The sequence below is a fragment of the Homo sapiens genome, chromosome 10 (assembly GCF_000001405.40).
Source record: "Homo sapiens chromosome 10, GRCh38.p14 Primary Assembly".
NCBI classification, from domain to species: domain Eukaryota; kingdom Metazoa; phylum Chordata; class Mammalia; order Primates; family Hominidae; genus Homo; species Homo sapiens.
This window is the reverse complement of record NC_000010.11, coordinates 80323435-80336012: the sequence shown is the minus strand read 5'-3', so window position 1 is coordinate 80336012 and position 12578 is coordinate 80323435.

Below are 12578 nucleotides of genomic sequence, written 5' to 3'. Positions count from 1 at the left end.
AGCCTCAAATTATTATTTTGGATCCTTCAGTTCAACTGGTTATTTATACATTTCCATTGGGAAAATAGGAGAGTTTGCTGAAGCAACCAAAAGAGGCAAATGGGAGGTGAGCTGAACTAATATGTGCGTCTATGCAAGAGCAAGACTGCCTGAGAGGACAGTTGCTGGCTGGGTGCAGTGGCTCACACCTGTAATCCAGCGATTTGGGAGGCCAAGGCAGGTGGATCACTTGAGGTCAGGAGTTTGAGACCAGTGTGGCCAACATGGTGAAACCCCGTCTCTACTAAAAATACAAAAGAAAATTAGCCGGGCGTGGTGGTGGGCATCTGTAATCCCAGCTACTTAGGAGGCTGAGGCAGGAGAATCACTGGAACCCAGGAAGCAGAGGTTGCAGTGAGCCAAGATCATACCACTGCACTGCAGCCTGGGTGACAAGAGTGAGACTCCGTCTCAAGAAAAAAAAAAGAAAAAAAGAAAAGAAAGTTGCTGGTCCGTGAGAAGTGAGTGAGGTGGCCATTGTGTAGGGCTCAGGAGGGTGTGCAACATGCTCTAGATGTGGTGTCTCCTCCTGGGTGTGAACTGCAGAGCTCTCCCCAGTTTGCTGGGAGCTGATGCTTCATAGAACCACTTAAGCCACACTTATATGATGGTGTTTAAGGGGGAAGAAGTGTTTCATCACTGTCCTGGTGGGGGAGTTTCCTCCAGCTTAGCTTGTTCCTCCACAGCCAGGAACAGATATGAGGACTTTCCCTTCCTCACCTTTCTGCCCAGCTGGGCGTCCGGATTCCTGTCTTCCTCTTTGGGGTTTATAAAGTCTAGGGATATTGCAGGATGTGTTCACATAGAGTGAATTGAATGGGATGAAACAAAGTTCTGGGGTGCAAAGAAGTATCATGTCTTCTGGCTCAATCAGTGGGCTCAAATATTGGGGCAACTGTTGGTGAGAAGATCTGACTGAATACAGGCCACACACTCCTGGCCCCTTTGAAGTTTCAGTTCTATCCTTAGACTCTGCAGAGAACCTTACTTCCTTTACAAAATTCTTCCAAATCTGTGATGTGAGTCCTTTCTATTCTTAAGGACATAGGTGCGAAAACGCAAATACCAAGAGAGGCTCCTTTAAAAAAAAATTCTATTTTGGCTTATAATGTACTTTTCCTGAGGCAATGAGTACAGAGTGGTCCTTTTGCCTAAATGGTGCTATCGTTTGAACGTGTCCCCCTCCCTTCCCAAATACAACTGTGTTGAGAGGTAAGACCTTTAAGAGGTGATTAGGTCATGAGGGCTCTGCCCTCATACATGGATGAATGCCATTGTCACAGAAGTGGGTTAGTTATGGTAAGAGTGGGCTTGTTATAAAAGTGAGTTCGGCCCCCTCTTGCTCTCTTGCACTTTCTTGTCCTTCCACCTTCAGCCATGGGATGACACAGCAAGAGGGCCCTCACCAGCTGCAGGCCCCTTGACCTGGACCTCCCAACCTCCAAAACTGTAAGAAATACATGTATTTTCTTTATTACCATTCTGTAATATTCTGTTATAGAAATACAAAATGGACTAAGACAAATAGGAAGAGATAAAAAGATAAATTATAGTTTCATTAAAAATGTTTAATTAAGAATGTTATCCTGTCATACCAGTTCTGTACATTTTTGAGGAAAAAACTTCCAGGTACCCTGGAGCGATATATGATTTCTGTGTGAATTCAATTTCCAGGCACTGTGTCCCCAGCATGGATGACCTGCATTCACATCTACCCAGGCAAGAGTGTCCAAGGGAGACAAGGAGCAGAGTGTACTTCCAGACCCTGACTCAGCCCAAAGGGCACCATCATAGAGGCCTGTGGGTAAAAGACAGGCTCAGAGAACTTTGGGCTCAGCATAGCCTGTGGCAGTTTCCAGAGGGTGTGGCTTGGAGGCAGATTTGGCAGCAAAAGTCCCTCTGTGTCAGCTAGTCACAGCATGAAACACTGTGGTTCTGGAAGGGTATAGTCTTATTAAGTACCCTTAGCCAGAGCTAGGCACAAGAGAGAGGAGGAAGTAAGAGAGGCTCCTGTCCTTGCAGGGAGATGACTCTCAAATAAAGCTGCTACCCTGAGCTGTATCTCAGAGTCTTAGAGGGTCTTGCTGATAGCAGCGGTACTCATTTTAGACTCACCCAGTGGTAGGGATGGAAATGGTTCCTATTTTGACAAGCTTTCTGTTGCTGGATGACATCCTAGGCTCAATTGACCTACTCTAGATTTTACTGATGAACTGGTCTTGAGGAAGGCAAAGATTCCAGAAGAAGGAATGGATAAAAGCATGGGAGATATCAAGCTTCTTAACATAGGTAATTAAGTTTTCTCCTCATGCAAAATGAGACCATTTAAATACATGTGCACCAAACACACATTTTCCTTGAATCTTTTTTAAAATTAATTTTTAATTTTTGTGGGTACAAAGTAGGTGTATGTATTTGTGGGTTACATGAGATGTTTTGATACAGGTATGCAATGCATAATAATCACATCAAGGTAAATGGGATATTCATCACCTCAAGCATTTATCCTTTGTGTTACAAACAATCCAGTTATACTCTTTTAGTTCTTTTAAAATGTATAATTAAATTATTTTTTACTCTACTCACCCTGTTGTGCTATCAAATACTAGGTCTTATTCATTCTTTCTATTTTTTTGTACCCATTAACCATCCCTAGTTTCCCACCCCCCACTATCCCTCCCAGCCTCCAGTAACCATCCATCCTCCTACTCTGTAGTTCCATACGTTTGTTTTCATTTTTAATTCCCACAAATAAGTAAGAACATGTGAACTTTTGTTTTTCTGTGTCTAGCTTATTTCACTTAACATAGTGACCTCAGTTCCATCCATGTTGTTGTAAATGACAGAATCTTATTCTTTTTATGGCTGAATAGTACTCCATTGTGTATATGTACCACATTTTCTTCATCCATTCATCTGTTGATGGACCTTTAGGTTGCTTCCAAATCTTGGCTATTGTGAATAGTGCTCCAATAAACATGGGAGTGCAGATATCTCTTCAACATACTGATTTCTTTCCTTTTAGGTATATACATAAGGAGTGCGATTGCTGGATTGTATGGTAGCTCTCTTTTTAGTTTTTTTAGGAACATCCAGACTGTTCTCCATAGTGGTTGTACTAATTTACATTCCCACCAAAGGGAATGTAATATGGGGGGTTCCCTTTTCTTCACACTCTCGGTAGCATTTGTTATTGCCTGTCTTTTGGACAAAAGCCATTTTAATTAGGTTGAGATATCTCATTATAGTTTTGATTTGCATTTCTCTGATGATCAATAATGTTGAACACCTTTTTATATACTTGTTTGCCATTTGTATATCTTCTCTTGAGAAATGACTATTCAGATCTTTGTCCATTTTTTAACTGAATAATTAGTTCTCCTCTAAAGTTGTTTGGGGTCTTTATATATTGTGCTTATTAATCCTTTGTCAAATGGGCAGTTTGAAATATTTTCTCCCATTCTGTGTGTTGTCTCTTCACCTTGTTAATTGTTTCCTTTGCTGTGCAGAAGCTTTTTAACTTGATTTGATCCCATTTGTCCATTTTTGTTTTGGTGCCTGTGCTTGTGGGGTATTGCTCAAGAAATCTTTGCCCACTCCAATGTCCTAGAGAGTTTCCCCAATGTTTTCTTTTAGTTGTTTTGTAGTTTGAGGCTTTAGATTTAAGCCTTTAATCCATTTTGATTTGGTTTTTGTATATGGCAAGAAATAGGGGACTAGTTTAATTCTTCTACATATGGATATCCAGTTTCTCCAGCACCATTTATTGAAGAGAATGTTTGTATGATCTTGGCACCTTTGTCAAAAGTGAATTCACTGTAGATATATGGATTTATTTATGGGTTCTCTATTTTGTTTCACTGGTCTATGTGTCTGCTTTTATGCCAGTACCATGCCATTTTGGTTACTATAGCTCTGTAGTATAATTTGAAACCAGGTAATGTAATTCCTCCACATTTTATTTTTGCTGGGTCTTTTGTGATTCCATATAAATTTTAAGATTGTTTTTCTATTTCTGTGAAGAATGTCCTTGGTATTTTGATAGGTGTTGCATTGAATCTATAGATTGCTTTGGGTAGTATGGAGATTTTAACAATATTGATTTTTTCAATCCATGAAATTGGAATAGTTTTCCATTTTTTCGTGTCCTCTTCAATTTCTTGCATCAATGTTTTACAGTTTTCATTGTAGAGATCTTCTACTTCTTTGGTTAATTCCTAGGTATTTTATTTGTAGCTATTGTAAATGGCATTACTTTCTTGATTACTTTTTCAGTTTGTTCACTGTTGGCATATAGAAATGCTACTGATTTTTGTATGCTGATTTTGTATTCTGCAAGTCTACCGAATTTATGAGTTCTAATAGTTTTTTTTTGTCGTCTTTAAGTTTTTCCAAATATAAGATTACATTTTCCCATTCAATTTTGAAGAATAGTTTTACTGGGTATAGCATTATTGATTGTCATTTTTTTCACCACCTTGAATATGTCATCCCACTGCCTTCTGTCCTCCAAGGTTTTTGATAAGGAATTAGCTATTAATTTTATTGAAGATCCCTTGTATGTGATGAGCCACTTTTCTCTTGCTGCTCTGAAAATTCACTCTTTTTGTTCTTATCTTTTGACAGACTAATTATGATTTGTCTCATTGTACATCTCTTTGGGTTTATCCTGCTTGGAGTTAATTAAACTTCTTAGATGTGTAGATTAGTATTTTTCATCAGATTTAGGATATTTAGTTTTCTCAATATTCTTTTTGCTCCTTTCTTTCTCCTACAACTTTGTTATGCATATGTTGGTACACTTGGTGTCCCACTGGTCTCTGATACATTCTTCTGCCAGCTCACATCTGCTGTTGAGTCTCTCTTGTAAAATTTTCATTCCAGCTGTTGTACTTTTCAGTTCTAGATTGTCTACTTGTTTCCTTTTTAGGATTTATATCTATTAACTTTTTTAAGGAAAACATCATTCATATACTTTCCTTTACTTCTTTAGACATGGTTTCACATTTTTTGCATGTGAGATCTATGGAGATGTGAAGGATTCTGGCAAAACAGAGGAGTAGAGAGGCTGTTAGGAGCCAGATCATGAAGGATCTGGACACCAGCTTCAAAGGTTTGGACTTGAGTTAAGGCATGTTGGGTGGCACTGAAGGCTTTTGATCACGGGATCAAATTGATTTTGTAGGAAGACCCAATCTCAGGAAGTGAATAGATGGGTCAAAGACTTAGAAATAGGTTAAAGAGTCTTTTTGTTTTGTTTTGTTTTGTTTTGTTTTTTGCCTGAAAAAGGACTTTTGAAGTGGCAGTGCAAATGGAAAGCAACGGTCAAATGCCATGGTCTTATAAAGGATGGATAGTCAGGATTTGGTGACTCAATGAGGAGGCCAAGGTAAGCAATCACTGCTGATGTTTAGGCTTGGAAACATGGTGACTTCAAGAAGAGCAATTTGAGAAGAGCTAGAAGAACAAAGACATATTGAGTAAACAAAAAATGTTTGGAGTGGTTGCTCCATACCAGACACTGTGCTTGTCATGGTGAACAAGACAGACATAGTTCCTAAACATATGGCACATATAGTCCAAAGGAAGCAAGTGAACAAAGTAAATTGCAATGGGGCAGTGAGGGAAATTAAGCAGTGTGCTGAGACAGAGAGCAGTCAGAAGGACTCATTTTAGATTAAGGATGTCAGTAAAAAATGGGAAGTGGCCATATTTGGGACTAAAGCTTCAGTTGTAGACTTACTATTTGATAAAGCAGGCTGATATATGTGTAAAATTATTTCATAGACTGTTGGAAAGGCAGAATGAAACCCAGGAGAAAAGTTGAGAATGGATGCAAAGGTTTGGGAGTTACTGGCAGGGATCTCTGAGGGAGGTTATGTCCATTTGAATTGGGGGTGGGGTGAGGCAGCAACAGGATAAAGAGTAGTTAGTGGGACCAGAGAAGGCTCAAATGGATGGACAGAGGCAGAAGCTCATCCTCACCATCCAGGGTGAGTTTCCAGGAGAATGGCAAATGTTGTGGAGGGAAGGAGATGGGAGTGATGTGTAGAAGGACCTGTAATGGCCTTTGAGGATTTTTCCCTGTTTTTATTAAGGATATGGGGGTGAAATTCAGCTCTGGTGGTTAAGGGTGTGAATTTTGGTAGACAGGAAAGGGGCTGGTGAAGCCAGTCTTTGGAGAAGTTTGGTGATGAAGAGAGAGTGACTTGAAGATGTAACAGGGCTGGGGAAGGATTCTCCTTGTAGGGAGAAATGAAGTTTCATTTGTGTTTTGGCAATAGGAAAGTGGCAAGTTGACTGAAGGTGTAGCTCAAAGCATTAGAGCAGGGTTCCAGAAGAATTGGGGGTGGGACAAATCAGAGGAAGACAAGTACTTCATAAATCACCTTTTCCTCCACTCCAGGAGGGGAAAATATAGAGACAGACATTTTGAGGTATGGAGGATGAATACTTGGAAGGAGTTAGGGGTACACTGCAGAATTTGCATTATATACCTCTGAGCCACTTGGTAAAGAAGGAAAGAAAGGCAGAGGTTGGTCAAGTACTTGAGTGAGGATGAATTTTACAATGTCTTCTGGGGCAATGGATGAATAAAGTGATTGATGGACAACTCTGTGAACCCACTTGAAGTTTATCCATTAAAAAATGTATGAATGCCTGCTCTGCCTCAACTTCCTCATTTGTATACTAAGTAAAGTAATAGTGCTGACCTCTTTAGGGTTGTGAGAAGGATTAAATGAGTTAATTCATGGAAAGCTTTTACAACAGTGCCTGGCACTTAGTAAGCACTCAACAAGTAGTTACTACTGCTATTACATGCTAGGTGCTGTGTGAGGTAAATAGAGATCTCATCAGAGTTATTATATTCTCCAGTAGCTCATAACAAACACAGAGGTAGAACAGAGTCAGTGGGTAATGGAGGTGCCCTGGAACTGAGGATTGGGAGACTGTCGCGGGACCATAGGGGTTTAGAGTCAGGTAGGAGCAGCCCTGGAGTGCGTGGCTCCCATGCTTACTCTCAGGTAGGTGTCAGTACTGTGGCTGGAGGGAAGGAGGTGGTGACCTTGTTCAAAGCAGGTTCCTGGCCAGGAACTGAGCAGTGGTGGGAGAAGGGGGAGGTCAAGGTAGCAGAGGAGACAGTGAGGGGTACAGCTCATGGGAAAGGATTTTGCAAGGATCTGGTCCAGCCAAGTGGTTGAGGAAGGACTATGGCCCCACCAGGAAGCTTGCCTGTAAATTAGAACCAGGGTTGATGCTCATTGTCTAGCTTAGACACATACTGTGAGGACTGGGGCAAGACAGGCGGGGACTGTGTCTCGGTGGGAAGGGGTCAGGCATGAAGTTGGTGAAGAAGAGAGAATAGAGACTAGCATGGAGTACTTACTAATGCCAACAGCTCCCCTGGGAGTTTATAGAGTTGGTATGAGCTTGTGTTTGAAAGTATAGGGAAATGAAGTCTCAAAGAGTAGCATTCAGCATTGTACCAGTAAGTGTTGAAACTGGTCCTGTCACCCAGTTATGTTAGAAATATAACTACTGAATACATTTGCAGATTCCAACAGCATTAAAAAGTGCCTATCTCTAAAACAGAGTTTATTTCACTTTTCCTAGAAGTTTTTTATCCTCTTCACTTTTTTTTTTTTTTTTTAAGAGATGGGGTCTTACCATGTTGCCCAGGCTGGTCTTGAACTCCTGGGCTCCAGCCGTCCTCCTGAAGTTCTGGGATTACAAATATGATCCATGATACCTGGCCTCCTCTTCACTTCTTTAGTATAATAAAGTGGCTTCACTGTTGTCCAAATGCTCCAATTTATAGTGTGGGAGTCATTCTTAACTCTTCTGTGGTTGCCATGCTTCTAGACCAATACAGTGAGCCTAATACTCACTCCTCTTTCTCTCATGTTCTGAAGCCGCAAGTGATTGGTTTCTTAACTAGTCATTTTCCTGCTGTCACTGTCTTCAGCTCCTTGTCAAAATATAAAAGATCAGCTTAATACATTATTTAGAATCATGTGGGGCCTTCACAGCTACTTTCCACATGAAATGCTTTAAAAGGGGTTATACCGATTGCAATCAATGGCCATCCACTCTTTACCTAGTTTTTCTCATTTCGACACATCTCTTTTAGTTGTCCCCCTTCTGAGCACTTAGCTAGATTCTGAGTGCATAAACTGGTGTGAGAGGTGGTCCCCTACCACTGAGGTGCACGCATCCTGATGGTGAGCAAGGGCATAGGAAAGAAGATGAATAATGATGCAAGGTTCAACAGACCCCTTTGGTAGCTACTGTGATTAACTCTACATAGAGAGAAGTCACATCGAGCTTCATGGAAGTAAGAGGCTAAACCCAACAAAACCCAGCAAAACACAAAGGCACATAACTGATCGTGGGTGGGCAGGAGGAAAAATGTGAGCAGAGAAATAAATAATGCTGGGAATGCCTGTAGGATGCTTGAAGGTTAACTGATTTGTACAGGGATGTCGTGAGGGAGAAGTTCATAAAGTCGATCTGGACTAGTTTTTGAAGCCTATTAAATAGCAGGCTAAGATATTTAGATGGCATCTGCTGACAATGGGAATAGAGATGGGAATTATACAGTGAAAATCCCTTTGGGGAGTGGTGGATGAGAAAGTGGTGTTATGTTACAGAGATGTTTTAAGATGCTTCATTGGTGGTACTTAGGATTTTTTAGGATAAGGTTGCTGTTAAGATAGTCTAGGCTTAAGGTAATGAAGGTGGTACCTAGGTTGTAGCAGTGGAAATTAATTTAGTGAACACTTACAGTGTGCCTACTATGTATCAAGCATTGTACTGGGTTCTCATGGGAAGCATATACGCAAAACATGGTCTCTGCTCGCACATCATTCACAATTTGTAGGACCTCTACAGGAAACAAGTGATGGGTGTGACGCTTTTCATAGGTGGGCTTGGGAGTTGATCGAATGGGGGTGGAGGACAAGGAAGGACAAGGAAGAACCTGAATCTTGAACAATGGTGGGTCCTTGAGCGCTCAGGTCAGGCAGAGGTGCCGGTCTGGCTTCGAGGGACACTTGCCTGGCTGGTGTCTAACATGGTGTAAAGGAGACACTAAGAACTTCCTTCATGGCTCTCTCACTGAGCCAGGGAGGGGGATGGCAGGGGTGCCACCTGTTTTGGGGACACTAGAATTAACATAATTGACACATATTTCAGGAAGCCATCAGCTGAGCCACAGAAATAACGTATACAAGATAATAATAACCTTGCTCAGGAATAGGGCCGGGCGCAGTGGCTCACACCTGTAATCCCAGCACTTTGGGAGGCCGAGGCAGGCGGATCACGAGGTCAGGAGATCAAGACTATCCTGGCTAACATGGTGAAACCCCGTCTCTACTAAAAATACAAAAAATTAGCTGGGCATGGTGGCGGGCACCTGTAGTCCCAGCTACTCGGGAGGCTGAGGCAGGAGAATGGTGTGAACCCAGAAGGCGGAGCTTGCAGTGAGCCGAGATTGCGCCACTGCACTCCAGCCTGGGTGACAGAGCAAGACTCCGTGTCAAAAAAAAAAAAAAAAAAAAAAAATATATATATATATATATATATATATATATATATTCAGGAATAGAACACTGAAAACAGCAAATAAATGTACAAGCTTTTGAAAATTGAATTAATTTTTGTGAAAGTCAAATTAAACCAACTGTTCTGAGATCAATACTACATTGAATCAAGCTTATTTATAATTGTATATTAAATTGTAACTATGTTACCACTAGATGTCACAAAGATTCAATTTTAAAAGCCTTTTGAGGTAGTCATTTTGAAATATATTTTTCTTAAACAGAAATAAGCCTTTCTAGTATTTGCAAATATAAGGAATAACTTTTAAATTTTTAAATTGTAAAATAGTCCAAATATGCAGAAGAGTACACAGAATAATATAAGCAATGTCTTTTATCCCAATCCAGAATTAACAAATATTACCATTTTACCATATATTGGCGGCTTTTTTAAAAAACAAAATCTTACAGTTGATGTTTTTGTACCCCTCCTTCATGCCATTCCTCTTATTTCTTGCCCACATATAACCATTATCTTAAAATCAGTGGATGTAATTCCCACTTATACATATTTGATGTCTTAATACAAATGTATATTTATCCATAAATAAGACAGTTTTTTGGGTGAGATTTTAACTTAATGCTTTTTTCACTCAGCATTATATTTTCAAGATTTATTCCTGCTGATACATTTATATCTACTTCATTTATTTTAACTGCTGTGTAACATAACCATTGCACCAGTTCTTCTATTGGTGGGTGTTTGGAGTGTTTTAAATGCTTTACTTTTATACATATACCTATGTATGTATCTCTGTGTATTTGAGGGAATCCCATTGTTTGCACATTTTCTCTTGACTCGCAAGTGACACTGTACTAGTAAAGAAGGTCTGTCAGACTCTCCTCCTTAAAAAATGTATCAAGGACCACATTCCTAGTACCCTTCTGACACAATCTCCTGTTGGAAGATGGGAGAACTAATGTGTGAAGTTTCTCTCTTGGTTCTGAAACTTGAGCATGTACCTAAATCTGCTGGAGGGCTTCTTAAAAGGCACTCCCAGGTAAGTCTTTAAGTCTGGGATAGGCTGGAGAATTTGCATTTCTAACAAGCACCCAGATGCTGCTGCTACTGCTGGTCAGCAATCTCACTTAAGAAAATGCTACTCTTGGCTGGGTATACAAGGCACACTTGTGCGATTCCCGGGGCTCAGGTTGTGGCCATTCTCAAGCTACTAGATATTGCTAGATTGTGTTCCAAAGTGGTCATGTTCGTTTACACTCCTACCCGGAGGACAGAGTTCCTGTTATGTCAAATCCTTTCAGATACTTGGTAATCTTACACGTCAACATTTTTTACCCATGGCGGGAGTGCAATGTGGTAGCTTTTTTGTTGTTTAATTAGCATTTCTCTGATTATTAGTGAGGTTACATATCTTTTTATGTTTATTGGACAATGGATTTGCTCTTCTGGGAATTGCATGTTCATATTATTTGCTAATACTTGCTATTGATTTGTTTATCTGACTGAATTTCTTTGCTGGTTATATGTGTTGGGAAATCTCTCAGGTCGTTGGTTGCCTTTTAACTTGGTTTATGGTCTTTATTGTTTGGCAAAAGTAAGGTTTATTTACATGTCTCTTTTTTAATATTTTGTGCTTTTTGATCTTTTGTTTAATAAAGTAATGAACCATTATTAGTTCTGAAAAACTTATGTAGTTTAAGGATTATCTTTAAAAATTATTTCATGTATTTTCGTTTAGATTTTTCAATTAAATTGTCTTCAAGTACAGTCAATAATCAAATTGACAATTTCAAAATCAGGGAAAGCACTCTCTTACCAGTTTTAATGAATAATAAGCATTCTAGCTCATTGCATGTACATTGGTGATATTGCTGAAATGAAATTTTAAGTGCTAAAAACGAGCCTGTCACAGTTTAAACATCTCAACTTACCTACACCCTTGCCATTATTTTTGTTTCTTCAATTTGGGGATTAAACTCTTCAAGGAGAAAGGGAAGCAGCTTTTGAATCAGAGGACTCTAAAGTATAAGTTAGTAGAGGAGAATTTTCCAGGTGGGGGGTGTGCAGTGAGTGACTTCCAGTGTAGCTAAGGCTGATGGTGGTTGGCAGATGGGATTTTATGACTCACAGGAAATGCTTATATGCCCCAGAGTGTCTCCCATGTGGCCGCACTGGCTGGAGGGACACCAACTAGATATTTATTTGTGTCAGTACTATTTTGAAATTTAGTTACCTCTGATGTTATGGTTCATTCATTAAAGAAAGAAAACACCTACTATGTGCCAGTCCTGGTACACAAGATACTTTATTTCAACTTCTTATATAGGATAGATAACAGCTTAAATTTTTACAGGCAGAAATGGAATTTCAGAGAGTTATTTAAGCTTCTGAGATTCTCACAGCTGATCGTTGAGCGAATGGAGATACAAACCCAAATTTTTTTGACTTTAAAACTTTCTCATCATTTCTTAGTAACATTCCATCAGAACCCACTGTGTTCGTAGGCACTTAGCTATTCATACTTTAGTGTAAAGTAGCCAAGCTATTTTACTAAACCATAAAACCAAGCTGGATTGGATATACTAGGGGAATGGATGAGCAGGTGGGCTGGTGCTGAAGGGTTTGAATGTGGCCATAATACCTTCTGAGAGCCTAAAGAACCAGTAGCCAAGGATGGATGGTGTGACAGAGAGGATGGATTTCAGTTGCTCTGTCCTTTTTTATAGGGTATTGCTTCTCATATTGTAATTTCTTATAAATTCCTGGAGCTTTTTCTTAAACTGTAGATTCTAATTTCCAAGCCTAAGGTGGGGCCCCAGAGCCTGCATTCCTAACAAGCTCCCAGGTGATGCTGAGGCTGCTAGTCAAGGAACCACACTGAATAACAAGGGCCTGGGGTATACTCAGAAGAGGAGAGGAGAGGAAACGTGTTTGATCGGCCCTGGGGTTGCTGGAGGAGGTTAGGGCAGAGCAGC